This window comes from Homo sapiens, chromosome 2, assembly GCF_000001405.40.
Source record: "Homo sapiens chromosome 2, GRCh38.p14 Primary Assembly".
In the NCBI taxonomy this organism is placed as follows: domain Eukaryota; kingdom Metazoa; phylum Chordata; class Mammalia; order Primates; family Hominidae; genus Homo; species Homo sapiens.
The window spans coordinates 29,298,937-29,318,439 of record NC_000002.12 but is presented as its reverse complement, the minus strand read 5'-3'; the positions used below and the strand labels follow the sequence as shown (position 1 = coordinate 29,318,439).

Here is a 19,503-nt window from a genome sequence, read left to right as displayed (position 1 = left end):
AATGGCGTGCTTGTGATTCTTTTCCTCTCTCCTAGACCATGCTCTATTGCTCAGTACCACTGATGTCCCCGCTTCTGAAAGTGCTACAGTGACCAGTGCTACGTTTCCTGCACCGATCAAGAGCTCTCCATGTGAGGCAAGTCTCCTTGTTTCTCTAGTTCTCTAATTTCTCCTCCCACCTCTTGTCACTTCCGGAACCCAGATTAAGAAAGTAGCCTAGCTGGCTGGGCTGGTCGTTCTCCTGGGGAGAGAACAAGAGGGCCACCTCTGCCATCTTCGAGGCAGAGCATGTCCATCAACATGGTAAAGCCCTATCTACAGAGAATCATGCCTTAAACAGCCATACCCAGCTGCACTGAACTACTTGCAGTAGAACCATGATTTAATCAAACCCAGAAGAGATTTTCCATGGCATAACAAGGGAGAGTGACAAGGATTGCAAAAGACTTTCTACAGAATCCTTTTTAAAAACATTGAGCTCTTGTAATACATTGTAAATACTATACATCCTCAAAAATTTGATTTACATAAATTTCACTAAGACATCAATGGCATTCAGTGAGGTACCTCCAAAACTACTCTCTCAAATGGTTCCTGATGCTGTTATCTCATTGGTGTGGGTGGAGGGACTGGCGCCCTGTTCCTTAGCATACAGTCATATTCTTTAGGGGCCAAGAAATGTACTTAAGACCCCAGCATGGTACAGTGATTAAGCTCATGGACTCTAGAATCAAATTTCTGAGTCCAAGTCGGGTTCCACCACTGATTGATTGTATAGTTTGTTTGGGCAGTTAATTAACCTCTTGGGGCTTCAGTTTCCTCACTGGGAAAGTGAACACATTTATAGTGCCTATCCTGAAGAGTGAGGATTAAATAGATAATGTCCAAAGGGCTTGGAAGAGCATTGGGCACAAAGTAAGCACTGCAGTATTTAGCCCACAGGGTGCCTGGCACACTGTATCAACATTCAGAAGGACACTGGGGGAAGAGGAAGAGAACTTGAGCCAGAAATCAGACTGTAAGCTCCAAGAGAGCAGGCCATGTCTTGTGCTTCTTTGTACTCCCTCACTGCACCTGCATCAACATCTTGCGTGTAGTAGAAAACCTACACGTAGTTTGGGTTTGGCCAGTCATCTCGTTCTGGACACTCACAGGAGAAATTCCTGTCTGGCTCAGTTTCAGGAATAGCTATGCACCCTCTGAGCAATTTGTTTCCTGTCAAGTTGTAGACATTGTGAAACTGACCAGATTCACTTCTCCTTCTGTGGCTAATAGAAATCCCAGGGTGGTGGTTCTGTGGCCAGCAGAGGGACAGACAACAGGATTGCCCCTGCTAAGGGATGCAGGCAGAATCAAGCCCCTCGAGTTTCTCATAAAATAAAAACTCACAGACAGAAAACAAATAAGAATGGAAAAGATGTAGAAATGATTTTTTAATCCGAGGAGTGGTTAAATTAAAACCAAGGCTCCACTTGGCAAGCAAATGGGACTTTGTGATATGCAATTTGTAGCAGCTTACTCCTGGTTTGATTTTATAACTCGACATTCGCCACTTCCTTCTCACCCTCTTCTAGGCTATGCTATCCTACTAGATTTTATGTATCTCTGTGAACCACCTTAAATCCTTTTTGGAAGAATTCTGAGCACAAATAAATAGATTCATTAAATTAAATTGTGTTTGAGAAACCATGCTATCTCATGCAGATGGTGGAATTACACAGTCATTGCTGATATTTCTCAGGTGTCTGAGAGCAGGTACCTAGAAAGGAAGGCTTTTTGAGAGAACATATAAATGAAGACAGATGGTTGGCCCACCGGAGAGGACGGGAGGATCCTTAAGAGCATTTGGTCTTTAAATTTACTCTTCGCTGGGTTTAATATGAGCCAAATTTCAGAAAAAGAAATGTCAAGGTACAAATGATATTATTCTAATACTTCATCATTTCTCTAATAACCTTTGAGTTGATCAATAGCTTAAACAGGTGTTTCGTTTTACTGGCCTGTTTTATTTTTCCTGCAGTCTAATTTGCTCTGGGCTGTTTCTGCTATTCCCTGCCCTTTTCCAGAACTTGGCTCAGCAGGCATAATGAAAGGAAGGGAATAAGTCCATTCCACACTCACATTATTTATATTTATATATATTCATATGATTTCACATTCAGGTTTTCAGACCATTTGTCTAATGCTGATGGGTCTTTGAATTCCCAATGTTGGGAGAAATGTTTTTATCAGGAAAATAAATAACCAAAATAGAAATATGCATTTCTAGATTTGTAAGCCCTACCATTTATTTTATGTGAATCCTAAATGCAGAATGCAGGAAGTTGATTTCCTCCTCCCGGGCGGGCTAAACCCCAGTGGCAGAAAAAAATGGATATTGCATTTCTCTGGGGGACTATGTGAGGTTCACTCAGGGCTTTCAAACCCCACCAACCCTACAGGGGCCTCTGTTGCCTATGGGGCCCGAGTGCAGAAAGATGGACACTAGGCAGAGTTTTGGGGACAGGACTCTGATGAGCATCAGGCCTACAGGGACTGGCGACTGGTCCAGCTGAGCCCTGAGGCTGATGCCTACCACGAAGGACCTTCTTCAAACCCAGCTCAGTCCTGGTCTCCGGGAAGTTAAAGTCATCGTACACTATCTCAAGACACCACAATCATCAGTGGATTCCCAGAGAAGAACTGGTGTCATCTTCAAGAATTTCCTGCAAAGTCTAGAAAGTGAGTTAACCAGTAGTTCTGTGTTTCACCAGTCACATTCACCTGGAAAATGTAACAAATGCCCCACCCTGGACCTACTGAATGACATCGCGAAGAGTGGGGCCCAGGGCTCTGCATTTTTAAACCCTATCCTTGGTGATTTGGAGGTGCACTGAAACTTCAGAGCTATTGGCCGTAGGTGTGCTTGCCAATTGTGACTGAAATTCATTCTGAGCCCATGCAGAGAGTTTTCCTCCTGTCTGTGGCCCCAAATAGCGTGATGTCACTTGTCTTTTAGAAAGATGAGTCAGAAAAGGGATGAGAAATGATGGAGGCGGGGGAGAAGAGAAGCGGGTGGGAGAGCATATGAAACCAGGTCAGGAGCCCCCCATGATGGAGGCATAGCCACAGTGTGCCTTTGTGCCAATCTAACTTCCAGGGCATTCCAGAAGCCTGCCCCACTCCCACCTCCTCCCTCCAGGCTCCTGCAGCCTGCTCTTGCTGACTACCACGGCTGCCTCCTATCTCTCTGCACAGTTACACACGGGGCATGAATATTTAAAGACCTCTGCCTCGCCCAGCCACAAACAAGAAAGAACGCTGTGGTTTTGGTTTTCTTTTTGTGTTCCTCCTCTCCGCCACAAGCTCTTCTCTGCAGGAAACTGGGGAGCCACTTACAATATATTCTGATGTTATTTTTATTTTTATTTTTCTGAGCTCCAGTTCAAATAATTAAAGTTGCCACCGGGGAGGGAAGGCTTGCAGTGGCTTTCATGTGCTCACTTGCTGTCAGACCTGCTCGAATCCGCCTCGGCTTTGAGACACCCGCGGATGTGTCTGGCATTGCAGCCGCTGGTAATAAAGAGCACGGCAGAGTGGCGGCTGACACCACCCCAGCCCCCTGCCTTTCACACACCCCAGCAGCCTGAATGTCTCAACAAGCCCCGTGTGGTTTGAAATTCTATTTTATTTGAATAGCCTGCCTGTGACTAGAATAATTTAAACCACGTTCTCAGGCCTTCTGGGCCTGCAAGGAGAAAAAGTGGACTTTCCTCATTTTCTTTCCCCTCCAAGGCATGGAAGCAGTTTTTCTTGTGTGAGCTACAGAAGTGCAATTTGATCCAAAAATGAGATGGGATCCCCCCAATTTGTGGTGGTCAGTTCCTCAATGCTGGTTTTCCTACCTGGCCAGAGCTGCAGTTGCGTCTCCCCTCTTCTCACACATACATATGTACACGCAAACACACACACACATACACACATGCGTGCACACACCCTCTGGGATCTTGGGACACAGCCGAACCTTTCCACCCCTGACGTCACCTCTAGCAATAAAAGGAATCAGGTTGGATTAGCTGTGGGGAGCTGCTGTGATCTAGGCAGAAGGTGACCAGCGGGCCCCTTCCACGTCTACATGGGCCTGGAGAAAAGGGGACCCATCCTTTGTGTCATTAAAACCAGCAAATGTAGCCCAGAGGGATGTGAGAAGACGCCATGGCCCCTGGAGTTGACCTTGGCCATCCATCCCTGAAGCCCTTCTCAAAGGAAGGCACCCGAAGGCAGGGAATTTTTCTGTAAATTGCTCTCTGATTGATTTTGTAAGACTTTTCAGGGTGCTGGTGATCATCCCTGGAAACAGGCTTATCCTTCCCTCCAGCCTCTCAGTGTGACGCAGAAGCAGGGAAGCCGAGAGGCAGGCTGTGTTGATTGGGCTTATTGAAGCTTGCCCCCGACCTCGGCAGCAGGCAAATAGGACTCTGAAGATGGGAAAAAGAGAGGAACTTTTCTGACTGCTGTGTTTTTAAAGTTTATTAAACTCAGTGACAAAATCTTCTGTGGAAAGTCAAGAAAAGGAGGATAAGAGTAAGAAAACTTAGTATCAGATGGCATGAGACCGAGGAAAAACAAAAGCAGAAGGGGACCTTCCTTTATCAGCCCCCACCAAACTCTCGACAGGAGCCAAAGAAGATGAGCATAACTATTGAATTCAACTCGTTTTCCAGAGCAGATCCTATGCATCACGGGCTCCCCATCCAGATCATGAAATTCACCTCAAGACCCACAGCTAATAAACACAAGACCAAACCTAGATCTTATGATTCTGAGTTTCATGCTCTTCCTGTCACACTGCCCTGCTGGAGACAGATGGAACCTTCTCAACTTGGGGAGAGTTGATGAGAGCTTCAAAAGCATCAGAACTGGCATTACTGTCACCTAACTCAGAGCCCCACCACCTCATTTCTGCAGGCAGATAGAGAATCCCACCCCATTGTGTAAACAAAGAGTTCTCCCCTTCGTCTCTCCACAGGCTGGGAGTAGTCACTGGGTCTAACTCCTGAGCCACCAAGGGGACACTGCCACTCACCTACAGGACTCAAATGGAGTTTGTTCATTGGGTGGGCCTCATTCTCGGCCCCATGTGATCCAACTTACTTTAGCAAATCAGGAAGGAGAAGCCATTCCAGGAGGCCTCATGGGCTTGATTGCAAATAAAGTTGTTATTTCCTGGAGCCAGTTTACCTTCTGCATAGAACGGATGACCATCTAGGGAGAAGAATATTGCACACTTCCCCTCTCTGGGCTGACTGGTAGAAGAACAAGCAAGCCCCTATCAGAGCCCACCTGGGACCAGCCTCTCTGCCCATGCATGGCCAAGCAATGCTACACTTTGTGGTGTTTGTAAAACCCTTCTTGTAAATAGTTGGGGACCAGTACCAAGCTAGAGGGATTCCAGGGTAATGTTATCTCTATCTCCCTCACTAAGCCCAAGTCCCTTTGGTCAGGTATTTGGGGACCAAGATACTCATCAGGCAGAGTTCCTGTGGATGTCCAACCCCCATCTCATCTGATGCTGTGACATCTCTGCAGTGACAGAATGTGCCTGAATTGGGAGAAAGCAAGTCCAGCTCTAGGAGTCAGTGCTTGCCTAAATTAAGAGCAGATCCAGCTAGTCTGGCTGGGGATTGTTTTCACACATGCTGTTCTCTGCACACGCCTCTTCCTGCATTGGAGACCACGGTCAGGACCCCAAGCTAGCATATGATCCCTCTAAGTTGTCCACTCTCTGCCCAGGAGGACATAATGTTGGGCCTATCAGAAAGCACAGGGCTCCTCTGGCTCCCACAGTGTAATGCTGATACCTAGAGCAAGTCGGAGCAGGGTGGTGGCTCCAGGTAGAGCTGCCTCCCTCCTGCCCCACAGCCCAACAGCCACGCCATCTCCTGTGACCAGAAGAATCCAGCTGGCCATGTGGGGCCAGTGCAAAAGGAGCATCACCAAGGCAACGTGGTACAGTGGGAAGGACAGGGCTTGAAGTCCCTTAGCCCTTGGAGGAAGCCCCCCCACTTTCTAGCCTGGAGACCTTGAGTATAGCGACCCACTGTTCTCGGCTTCAGTATCCTCTCCAGGGCTGTCAGGAGAAATGAGTGAGAGGAGATATGAAACATGCCCAGCCTGAATCTAGACACAATTAGGTGCTTAAAAATGGAACCTGTGGTTTCTGCTACTCTGTTGTAGCCATTACTATTATTATCTTCTTATCTGACTTTAGTGATGATTCTGAGACCAAGGCTGGAGCCTGCCTTCTCCAAGGAGCCTGAATCTGGAGGGTTTGGCCTCTGCCCTGCCCTGGGTAGCCTGGCAATATGGCAACACCCCTCTCCCAACTATTGCCAGTGGAGAGGGGTGTTGCCCAGCTCAGTGGCTGGAGTCAGAGGAAGTTTATGCTTTAACAGCAGCCAAGGGGGCCCTGCCACCCCTGTCCACCATCTCCACCAGCTCCTCTCCCCAGCCAGCATGGGCATGGGAGCTCCCTCCTCCAATCTGCCAAAAGTCCCTTTGCTCCACTGCCCCATCAGCAGACACCTACACAGAACAATAACCCCATACCTTGATATAGTCCCAACATGTTTACAGAGGGGCCTTCCCCCACATCGCCCCCATCCCCCAGAGAAGATGATATTGTCACCTTTTTATAAATGAGAGAAGGCTCAGGAGAGGAACCTAGACCACACACAGCTGGCCAGCAAGGCCCACAGTGTCCTCCAGATGCAAGAGCATCTCCACTTTCCCCAGGGGAGCTCCTGGGAGTGGGACAGCTGCCGTCAACGAGGTCACTCAAGGCAGGGAGGAAGTCTGGTGACACGGCCCAGAGCAGAACGTCATAAGCCTGACTTTTCTTTTACAAACCCCTTTTTTTAACTTAAATGTCAATTCTGTATTTTATTCCTTAACATACCTATTTGTTTGGACACAAAAACATGCCTCATTATTTACTATTGAGTGGCTAACACTCCAGGAAGCTACACCCTGTTTGCCCTGTGGCTTTGGGTACCCCTAGGAAGAGCTGAGCAGCATATGTGCCCCTACTCTAAGAAACCCAGAGGAAGAGCTCCCACCCTCACTGCCGTTTTCGGAAGCCCCAAGGCCTCCCCACCTTTAGGATCTCACTCCATCCCCTAGGTCACAATTAGGCTCATAGATGGTGCATTTTGAAGAGCACCTGCTCTGCCTTGGTTGGCCCTGAAGTCAGCTTCAACTATGGTTGCCCCTCATCTACCCCATGAGTCACCCTCACCCTGGTGCTGAAACCTCAGGAGGGCTGAGCCCTGGCAGCTGCTAACACTGCTGGTGATGGAGACAGTAACCTCAGAAAGCCTTTAGCTGGGGTCTAGGCATCCGCAACTTTGTGTTAGAGGGCAAGGGCCTCTAATACAAAGGAGGAAGCTGCAGTGGTTCTCGAGGCATTTTCCAAATGGCTTTTTCCAAAGGCTCTCTACATGAGTAAGAGATTTGGGCCCCACTTCCAGTCTCTAATGACAACCGTCCAGACACCTGTAATAACATCACTGTAATGAGAATCCCCTGTGTGTCAAAGCTTACAGAGTCTCTCCACCTCCCACGGCTACCCTGTGAGTGGATAAAATCTTCCCTGTTCTGATGAGCCCCTGAGCCATGGCAACAAGGCACTTGACTGGCTGGATGCACACACGGACCCCGAGCAAGAGGGATGAGCGAGGGAGGGACACTGAGGGTCCACAGTTAGGTGGTGAACCAGCAAGTATTGATTTCAAACCTGCCGTGTGGCCAGCCATGCGGGGAGATAGCCCACAGGAATCTGGGATCTCTTTGGGGTGTTTATTCTACAGAAAAGTTAAGAACACTTACATTCAGTGTGAAAACTTCTGGTCTTCAGGTCACTTACAAATCACTTGGCTGTATTATGCTGAAAAGCAAGCCATTATTCTTAATGAGGGCCTTCGAACACCCTAGCTCTTTGCACCCTAGTAGAAAGAAGCCTTCACTTAGTCCAGTGCTGGAGGAAGGGACCCTTAGTATCGATAAAGCCAACTAAGGATGTAGTTTTCAAATATTGATTCCCTAGTATAAGGCTGGCACTATGCTAAGCATTTCACCTACATTATCTCGTTATAAAAAATTATTACCCCCATTTATTGATACAGAAACTGGAGCTTAAAGAGTTTAAGTGACTGCCCAAAGTCACCCTGCTAGAGGCAGAGTCATGATTCAAACCAGGTCTGCCCAACTCCCCAACCAAATCTATAAATACTCGATTTGATTTAGATGGCCTGAGTTTAGATCCCAGCTCTGCCCCACTGAGGAGCCATATGACCTCAAGCAAGTGACTTCCTTTAATTTGAGAAAACAACAACAACAAAAAACCTGTTTTAGTTGCTGCATGAGGTTGTTACCAGGATCAGAGGAAAATGTGAAAAGCCTTTGTCTTCTCTGCAAAGCTTGATGAATGGCAGCAATTATTATTATTATGATCCCTCATCTTACGTTACTCAGGCATGAGGAAGTTGCTGCTGCATAAATTCAGCCACTGCTTGTGTTCTGATTTCTCCTCTCAGTCAATCAGCAACACGTGGGCAGGTCGGGAGCGTTATTTCACACAGTGTCCACATTAGCACCAGCAGGACATGCCCAATAAACCCACTTCGTTGATAATTAACTAATTAATTGTGCAGCCCCACCCCCACCCCCCACGGTTGCAAGCATAACCCTCTTCCAGGATGAGAGTGAACAAGAAGACTCCTCAATGAGTCTCGAGGACCCAACAAATGACACCTTCCTGAGCTTTCTGAGCCAAAGTCATTCTTACCCCAGCACCTAGAGCTAGGAAGCCACTGGAGCCCAGCATTCTATCACCACTGCCTGTTAAGTGGTCGACTCTGCCAGAGCACTTGCTAATGCCTGCAGTAATCAACAGCAATTGTAACTGCAGTCAGACATAATTAATGTAATACCTTTGAGCCATTCACAACTAATACCTCTCCCATTGCATGATGAAGCTGAGGTCTAGGAAGAATCACTGTCTCAGCCCCTGGGTGTGAATAGGATCTTCCTTGGCACTTGGCACAGACTTGGTTCCCATTCAAAAGCTGTATGTTAATCACAGACCTCTCTGGCTCCCACTAGTGGTCATTGCAACACATTCATGTCACCCATATATGGGGGAACACCCCATTGAGAGCACACACTCCCTCCAGCTATCAGGGAAAAATACTCCCCAGAGGGCTCTGGGCCCCCTGCAGATGCTCCTGTGCCCCACATCTACTTTTTCCAGTGGTGTCCGTGAAGGCTGTGGGAGTTTCATTGCCTAGAATCATCCTGTTCCCCAGCAGTCAGATTACAAAGCTACTCCTCAGTGTCATCTCCATCATACACAGAGAAACTGAGACACAGAGGAGGCCGTTTGCCCAGGATCACACCATGACAGTGTGACTGAAGAAAATACCATCTTTTTCTTCCCATAAGCCTGGAAAGATAATTCTCTAGGGAACCCAGAAGATTAAAAAACAGCAACAAAAAAAAAAACCAGACAGAAACTTTAACACAGCATTTTCACCCTGTCGTAGTCTGTTTTTTGTGAACTGTTTATCTCTAACAAAGTGTCCCCTGCCTGCTCTTTTCCATGCAGGAGAAAGGAACTAACATTTATCAAATGTCTTCGCTAAGCTGGGCACTGGTCTCATATAATCTTATTAAAGCCCCATAATAAATATCTAAGCAGGGTACTGTTGACCCCACTTGACGGAAGAAGATGCTGAAGCTCTGAGATATTACGTGATACGTAAAAAATAGACCATTCTTTCTGATACGAAAGCTTGCGTTCCGTTCACAGCACGGTCCCACCGCATTCCACAGAAGCTCCCACCTTCCCTTGATCTCCCTCACAAAGCCTAGAGTACAGGCACAATAACTTGATTCTCCCTGAAGTGGGTAAAAACATAGTACTAGCTTTTACTGTTTTCCAACATCAGAATCCTCTCTCACCACCTTTTTAATATAGCATTTATTGCTTTCTCTGATTATAAAAGAACTTTATGTTCATTGTAGAACATTAGGAAAAATGCAGGAAAGTATGAAGAAGAAAATTGAAATTGCCCAAAATCTTACCCCCCAAAGATATTGGTACATTTCCTTCCAGACAGATAGATTTAGATTTGAGCTTTGCTATAGAGAAAGGGTTTATATAAATATAAACATCCTGTGTCTTATTTCTTATTTAACATTACATTTTCCCATATCAATATTAGTCTTCATAAACATGCTTTTAACAGCTGCACACTCTAAATTAATTTCATTGTTTTTGTTCTAGTTATCAAAAGTCAGATATTCATTGTAAAAAAAAAAATTGGAAAAGAAAGAAAAGACCACAGAAGAAAAAAAAAAAACTTGTAACTTTATAACCTCACCAGCCAGAGATCTCAAGGTGATTATTTTTGTATGTGGCCTTCATGTTTTTAGAAAGAGGGCATATGAATGTCCACTGGTGTTCCCTGGCTTCTACATAATCCCTCAGAAAAGAAACATTAAGTGGTATTTTCAGGAAGGATCCTGATCTTTTAAGTATCCTGCAAGACCAGGAATCCAGCATTTCTTAAGCCTCCATAATTGCAAGCATTTGCCAGAAACGTGTTTTATTTCCTTGTTATCAAAAATCTGCATCTGGCCAGCTTCTTGCTGTGCTGGGTTGATTTGTCATTAGGCTATTTATAGCTAGAGAGTTGGTGTTTCATTTTTCCAGGTGAACTAGAAGATGGTGAACAAAAACACTGGATTTTGCAGTGAGTCAGTATTCTCAGCTGAAGTTAAGAAGATACCACACTGAAACCAGGGAAGTCAAAATTACCGGTTCACACTGAGAATTACAACCCTCTGGCACCCTATATTGAGGGAGAGCCTTAACCCCCATACAGAGATGTTCCTGATGACAATTCCAATCCCAGTCATTCAACAGAGACTGGATGGGGAATACCCAGGGAGTACCCCCACCATGCAAGCTCATCTTTGAGCATCTCTGTTAAAAATGTGTTTCCTTCTCTTGAAGTGAAATACACACTACAGCATCTAGCCTTGGTTTTGTCTCTACTATTGGAATTCATGCAGGTCTTCAGAAATTTGAAGAAAGATAGCACCTGCCCCGTCAGAACATTTCCTACATTTAGGGGTGTTGCATGCAGAATAGATATTATTTGATGTCACTGAGTCTCTTTTGATCACTGCAGGCTTTTGAACACACAGTATTTTCTGTGGGTTGAAGGGATTGTCCTGAAGCTGCCACGAGGTATGCATAGCAAACATGGGGCATATTCAAGACATAAAATTGCAATAATTACCTCTGGAGGAGGAATGGGCCATGAGAGAAATAATAGCATTAGGCCTAGCCACAATGCCGTTCCGGCTTTACATACAGGACTTTAATTAATAAAATGACAAACACTGGTACCACATAATTGGAAAGTCTATCAGTCCCTTCCGAGAGGCAGGAAAAAATGGCCCTTGTGAAAGCGCTGGCTGGAACCAGAAGATATAATTGCTGGTGGCGTACTCCTGGTGTTGTCTCTACTCACTTGTCTCATTTGCTGTCTGCATATAAAAGAGTTTATTAGTCAAACACTGCCATTTATAACCTATATCTACTAGGATGTGTCTAGAAGGATCAAAAATTTTATTGTTACTGGCATCAGCAAGCGTTATTTCCCATAAATATAATTTAGAATTTGTGTCAGATTTCGCATATTTGTGTGAATACACACACAAACACACACACACACACACGACTGTTAATTGTCTGGTAAGGACAATGGTTGTAAATGCATTAAAATTCACTAGCTCCCTAATTTCTCCAGCACGAAAGTATTTCTAGGATAAGATCTTGTTAAAATATAAATTCTGATTCAGAAGAGCTGGGGCAGGCCCTGAGACCCTGAATTTCTAATAAGCTCCCAGGTAGCGCCCACATTGCTGATCCAAAGACCACACACTGAGCAACAAAGATCTGGAAAATCTTTGCAATATGCCCCCAAAGCTTTAAGGAGTACCATAATATATTACATGGGCATTGCACTCCATGTATGGTAGAAAGAACACAGAGCATAGTGTGGACTCCAGGTCTGCAGCCTGTGGGCTTAGTGCCCAGGGGTGACTGACTTAACGTCTCTAAGCCTTCAATTCTGCATCTGAAAAATGGGTGGAATAATATCTACACAAAGGGATGTTGTCAGTATACAGTGAGATAAGCCTACGTGCAAGCGCCTAGTTCAGCTTCCTGGCATTCAGTAAAGAGTCAATTAACAAATGACTTCATATCCAGTAGGCCAGGGGTCCCCAACCCCCAGGCCACCGACCAGTACTGCTCTGTGGCCTATTAGGAACCAGGCCACACAGCAGGAGGTGAGTGGCAGGCAAGTGAGCAAAACTTCATCTGTATTTACACCCACTCGCCATCCCTCGCGTTACTGCCAGAGCTCTGCCTCCTGTCAGATCAGCAGTGGCACTAGATTCTCATAGAAGTGCGAGCCCTATTGCACTGATCTGACATTATGGTGAGTTGTATAATTATTCCATTATTTATTACAATGTAATAATAATAGAAATAAAGTGCACGATATATGTAATGTGCTTGAATCATCCTGAAACTACCCCCCAACCCCCAGCCCCTGGTCTGTGGAAAAGTTGTCTTCCACGAAACTGGTCTCTGGTGTCAGAAAGGTTGAGGACCTCTGCTGTAGGCCACCCAGATAGAAATAGGTCTTAAGATGGAATTCTAAGGGTGTTTTTGGACCAGAACCTTGACTGCCAAGATCAAGCTGGGTATACTTGGCATGGGTATTTACATAAAATGATATCAAGGGACCTCTAACCAAGGACTGTGTAAGGGAAATGAAGGTCTTTGAGAGGGACTTGAGCCTGCAGTCTGCTCTAGGAACCACATACAGTGAGTGCTGTCTAATGTTAGACACATGTGATCAACAAGGAATACTCAGTAAGAACTGATACCAGGCCTCCAGGTCTTCTAATTAAGAAATTGGTAAAAACCTTATCTGCAGGTCCAAGAGGGTAGTTCTAGCCCCGTATACATCCTCGGGTCATTACTGCTCACGGGGTCTCTCTCTCTTTTTCTCTCTCTCGGTTATTCTCAGTCTTTTTCTAGAGGCGATGTAACAGCCCCAAGAAGGCCCTTAGCTGACGGCAGCAGACTCCCCGCTGCAGGAAAATCGCCCCCTCTACACCTTGGTGATGGTGGGCACATTTTAAGCCATTTGTAAGTTATTAAGAATTGCCTCTTACTCAAAGTCCAAGATGAAAATGGACCCCTCACTGAGAGGGTCAGGCACTTCCTGCACTAAGTAACCCAGCTCCCCAGAGGTCTCTACCCAGGCTGCACTTTAGAAACACGTGGAGAAATTTTAAAATCTGCCGATGCCCAGGACCTACCCACATCTACTTAAATCAGAGTCTCTGGAGTGGTGCCCAGACATTAGTCGTCTGGAAAGCTGATTCTAATTTGCACCCCAGGTTGAAAACCACTGGTTTCACCATGTCATTCACAATATCACAGGAGCTCTACTTCCACATTCTTCATCTCATACTTCATAATCCCCTTTTGAGGCAGGCAGGGAAGGGGTGGTGGTTATTATCACAAGTTTGTCTATAACAAAATACAGGTTCAGAGGAGGTAAGTGGTTGGCTTAAGGTCACACAGTTAATACACATTGGCCTTGAAGCACAGACTCCAAATTATGCCATAGTCAGCAGACAAGAAAAGAGGATGGTTTGACAAGCCACTGAAGAATGAATGTTGATGCAAAGGGCAGGTGGTTCCAGTGCATTCTGGAAAGGTCATGGGATGAGTCACAGGAGCACAGGGACAGGGATTTGGCATCAGGCCAGAGATTCTGCATTTCTTTTTTCTTTTCTTTTTTTTTTTTTTTTTTAGACACAGTCTTGCTCTATTGCCCAGGCTGGAGTGCAGTGGCACCATCTCAGCTCACTACAACCTCCGCCTCCCAGGTTCAAGTGATTTCCTGCCTCAGCCTCCTGAGTAGCTGGGACTACAGGCACCTGCCACCACACCTGGCTAATTTTTGTACTTTTAGTAGAGACAGGGTTTCACCATATTGACCAGGCTGGTCTAGAACTCCTGACCTTGTGATCTGCCCACCTCAGCCTCCCAAAGTGCTGGGATTACAGGCACAAGCCACCGCGCCCAGCCAGATTCTGCATTTCTAACAAGGTCCCAGGTAACACTGATGCTACCAGTCTGAGGACCACACTCTAAGCAGGAAACCACTGACTGGCTCTTAGAGGCACAATGTGGAAGAAACTACGATTATAACTACAGGTGAGAAGTAGGCCAAGGGACAGACATAGGCTCTGGACTGCTTGTATCTTTTTTTTCCTAGATTCAGGGGATAAACATGCAGGTTTGTTACGTTATGCAATAGCATAATGCTGGGGTTTGGGCATCTATTGCACCCATCACCCAAATAGTGAGTTTACTACCCAGTAGGTAGTTTTTCGTCCTTTTCCCCCTACTCTCCCACCTTTTAGAGTCCCCAGTATCTATTGTTTTCTTCTTTAAGTCCATGTGGACTCATTGTTTAGCCCCCACTCATAAGTGAGCACATACGGTATTTGATTTTCTGTTTCTACATTAACTCACTTAAGATAATGGCCTCCAGCTGCATCCACGTTGCTGCAAAGGACATGACTTCTTTCTTTTTTATGGCTCTGTAGTATTCCATGGTATATATGTACCACATTTTCTTTATCCGATGCACCATTGAGGGACACGTAGGTTGATTCTATGACTTTGCTATTGTGAATCGTGCTGCGGTAAACATGTGACTGCAGGTGTCTTTATGGTAAAATGATTTATTTTCCTTTGGGTGGACACCCAGTGGTGAGATTTCTGAGTTGAATGGTAGTTCTGTTTTTAGTTCTTTGAGAAATCTCCATACTGTTTTCCACAGCAACTGAACTAATTTACATTCCAACCAACAGTGTGTAAGCATTCTCTTTTCTATGTATCTTCACCAAGATCTTTTCTTTTTTTACCTTTTAATAATAGCCATTCTGACTGGTGTGAGATGGTATCTCATTGGTTTTGATTTGCATTTCTCTGGTGGTTAGCGTTGTTGAGCAGTTTTTCATATGTGTATTGGCTGGTTGTATGTCTTCTTTTGAGAAGTGTCTATTAATGTCCTTTGCCCAGACAAAGGGCAAAGGTGTTATTTTTAATGAAGTTATTTGGTTTTTTCTTGATTTGTTTAAGTTCCTTATAGGTTCTGGATATTAATCCCTTCTTGGATGCATAGTTTGCAAATATTTTCTCCCATTCTGTAGGCTGTTATAAACTCTGTTTATAGTTTCTTTTGTTGTGCAGAAGCTCTTTAGTTAGGTCCCCATTGTCAATTTTTGTTTTTGTTGCATTTGCTTTTATGGTCTTAGTCATAAATTCTTTGCCTAGGCCAATGTCCAAAAGAGTTATTCCTAGGTTTTCTTCTAGGATTTTTATAGTTTGATGTCTTACATTTCAGTCTTTAATACATCTTGAATTAATTTTTGTATATGGCGAGAGGTGGGATCCAGTTTCATTCTTCTGCCTATGGCTAGCCAGTGGACTGCTTATATCCTGAGGAAGAACATCTGCCTGGATATACTCCCTTACTGAACACTCAGTGGATGAAAAAAAATGGCCAAAAAATACACATTTGCTAGCCATTCACTGACTGCCAGTTTGCAATCTTATTCCAGGCCTTTTGCATCTATTTCTAGAATGAGACATTGTTGAAACTCAGAGAGTGCATGCCTTGGCTTGAGTTGTGGCTGTAGTTGAGTGTCTTCTGCTATAAACATAGGAGGTATCATTATAAGATGAAAGAAGGTTAATTCTTTTTTTTTCTCTTTGAGACGAAGTCTTGCTCTTGTCCCCCAGGCTGGAGTGCAATGATGCAATCTCGGCTCACTGCAACCTCCGCCTCCCGGGTTGAAGCAATTCTCCTGCCTCAGCCTCCCAAGTAGCTGGGATTACAGGTGCCTGCCACCACACCCAGCTAATTTTTGTATTTTCAGTAGAGGCAGGGTTTCACCATATTGGCCAGGCTGATCTCGAACTCCTGACCTCAGGTGATCCACCTGCCTCGGCCTCCCAAAGTGCTGGGATTACAGGCGTGAGCCACCGCACCCGGCCGGAAGTTAATTATTTAATTCTCCTATTTGTTCCTAGCTCTGAACAGTTGGGTCCAGTGGCTGTCTGGACCTAAGTCTTTACTGTGTGATGTCATGTGTCTTGCCTCGATTATCTTGTGTCATATGTCCTGACTGTCAAGTGGCTCCAATTACTTCACCTTTTGCTACAATCAGAACATTTGTAATCATTCATTTAAATTCTATCTTCCTGGCTGGATGATAAGCTCCATGAGGGCAGGAGCTCATCTTCAAGAACAGAGTATGCAGCAAAGAGTAGGAGTGCAGTAACTATCTGCGAGTGAGTAGATGATGATCTCCCTTAAGGACTAATCCCAGGAAGGATCCTGGTGGATTGCCTCAGAAGGCTAAGGATGCCATAGCCTTCACACCATCCCTGGGTGGCCAGTCCAGTTCTCTCTCTTTTGCCCGGCCTGATTGGCCTAAAACACAGAACAGGAAGATGGAGAGAGCTCAGCTGCTGGCTGGCCCCTGGTCCCAGAATAGACAAGACAGGGCTGCATCTTGCTGACATGCTCATACCATCAGCAGACTCTACTTTAAACTGTAAAGTTCCAGGGAGCAGCTGAGGAGGGGGCAGTTTAGAATATAGCCAAGTGGCTGGAAAGTGAGGAACTTCTCCCCTTCCCTGGTCCCTGACCCATAGAATGTAAGAAAGTGCCAAGGAGCTTCCTAGGATGGAAAGTTGATTGACTACCTCTAAGAGGAAAGCCTGGCAAAGATGAGAGTGTCTCCCTATATAGATATGCAATTTTATTCATGCTGACATTGATTGGTTCCTACAACGTGCCCTTGCTTGACAGCCACTGTGAACATAAGATGAATAAGACAGTCCCTGCCTTGAAGGAATTCATGACCAAGGGTAGAGAGAGAAGACAAGGCAGCAGGTCCCAATAACCTTAGAAGATTTAAGAGGAGGAGGAAGTGGTTTCTGAGATGGATGAAAAGAAAAAGGCCTCCTGAAAAGGAAAGAGATCTCATTTTTTAAGAAGACAGAAGGAAAAAGCAGGTAGAGAAAACAAAAGAATAAAAAGTATAGAAGCAGAGAAATGCAAGTCAGGTGCAAATCTGGCAAGTAGACTGGTGTAGGGGAGTCTGGAACCCGCATTCATTCAGCTTCCTTGTGTGGATTGCTAGGTGAAAACTGACAGACTACTTCTCTGGTCACTGGAAGGTAATGCAGACAGTTCTTCAGTCACTTAAAAATGCAAAACACAGGCTTTTTAGTAATCAGCATGCTCATCCAGTCACAATTTCAATCTTGCTTTAAAGTCATCACTTCTTGCCCTCTCCTGCCGCCTCCAAACTTGGTCCTATTGCAGATGGAAAGCCTGAAATGAGAGAAAGGGTGTGGTCAGTGGCCTCTCTAGTTCTCCACCCAACCTCTCCTCCTCTTCTGTCATCTTGTTGACTTCTGACTTGTTGGGGTTGTAAGCATAGACACAGAAAGGATTTCAGGGGAGCAAGAAAGTTCTTATTGGAGACTGTTGGGTAATCTTGCATTGGTGTTCTCTGGATGTAACAAATGTCCAAGGCTTACTGTTTCTCACACAGGGGCTTTTGGGGTTCCTTTGTAGATCCACCTTTCTCCTCATCCCCTCCACCATGGCTTAGAATTTTTCGCCTTGACTTAGGGCACATGCATTTTTTTTTTTTTTTTTTTTGAGACAGAGTCTTGCTCTGTCACCCAGGCTAGAGTGCAATGGCACAATCTCGGCTCACTGCAACCTCTGCCTCCCAGGTTCAAGGGATTCTCCTGCCTCAGCCTCAGCCTCCTGAGTAGCTGGGACTACAGGTACCTGCCACCACACCTGGCTAATTTTTGTATTTTTAGTAGAGTCGGGGTTTCACCATGTTTGCCAGGCTGGTCTCAAACTTCTGACCTCAAGTGATCCACCTGACTCGGCCTCCCAGAGTGGTGGGATTACAGGTGTGAGCCACCGTGCCCGGCCAGGTATGTGCATCTCTATTATAGGTGGTCACTTCCACCTTCCTCCACTCTTGGGCATCTCAAGATACCGGCAGCTTCTTCCTACTATTGTCTATTTACCTCCCTCTTAGGCAAGATCTACAGTGACCCTGCATGGGCTCCCCTATACATGGTTCTCCTCCCACCCATATGCAACACTCATGCATTTCTGCCCCAGCAAACTCTGGGAGTGTAGGCCACCCGATGCTGCCACCTTGCCTTGTTCTGCCATCAGAGCAGCTAGCCAGCCCCTAGTTCAAACTTTAGACCTTCCAGGTAGGAGACAGACACTAATCCACCGTGTTTCCAAAACTGCAGGGGTAAGTATCAAGTCCTTGATATGGTATCATAAAACCATTCTCTCTTGACTTGAGATGAAGATGGAACACCCTTCCCACCTTCTTCTTAGCAGGAGAGTGAAATGGAACTCGTGGTATGCCAAAAGCACCTTCCAAAAACTCTCTCCTAATAGTCAACCTCCAGCATTTTGTAATATGCAAAGTATGAGTGAAGGGTTAAGAATTATGTCATTCATTTTTATCCACCTCTCTTGAAAGTTCTGCAACCTTGTGCTCTTACACTTCCCTTTGAAATGCAGCACCCACTGCCTCCATGCTTCAGCCAAAATGCCTTTTTAATATTTTGTTACATCAATTATTATTTCAGTTAACAGTCCCTATAACCCTATAAGAGATAAAACTATTCTCATCTTAGAGAATAGGAAACTGAGCTTCAAAATGATTAAATAACTAGGCCAAAGTGGTAAAAACAGGTTTTGAATTCAGAACTCTCTGATTCTAGAGGTCTTAGACCATTCTGAAATGGAGAATTCATGTGACCCAGCATAAGTGCTTAACAAATATTTGTTGAATGATGAAAAAGTTGATTTCCTCAGATAATAGAGGAATGTAAATGCCATAATTTTTGACAGGGCATGAGAAACCATCGACAGTTGTTGAGCCCAAGTCACAGATGAGCATGATCAACAGGAGAATGTGATAGAAATATACAAGAGAATTCGGAAGAGAGAAAGAGTGGAGAGGGAGAGGCACTTTAGGAGACTCTGAAGAGTTCAAAGAGTTATAAAGGACATGGGTACTCTATTTTGCTAGAGTAATGAGGAGATTATCTAGAAACCAGGTTGAAAGAACTTAAAGAGAGAATGAGCAACAAGTAACTAGCGGCAGCAGTTACATCCCAGCTGTTCAAGATGTGAGCATCTGAATGGGGCAAAGAAATGGTTACAAGCCAGAGGAGCCCAGAGGATGAAATAAAGGATATTTCTCCAGAATGGGTGAACCTTGATCTTATTT

General features: G+C 45.2%; 1 protein-coding gene across 2 annotated transcripts in view; it reads left to right on the top strand.

Moving 5' to 3' along the window:
• The window catches only part of ALK (ALK receptor tyrosine kinase), a 728,813-nt gene that overhangs the window by 603,147 nt on the left and 106,163 nt on the right, over nt 1–19,503 (top strand). For both annotated transcript variants that reach the window (XR_001738688.3, NM_004304.5), the window contains exon 8: nt 36–136. Coding sequence is in view for 1 of the 2 variants with exons in the window: in NM_004304.5 (NP_004295.2) it covers nt 36–136 (101 nt within the window). In the remaining variant the exon portion in view is untranslated. The remainder of the gene's footprint in view (nt 1–35; nt 137–19,503) is intronic.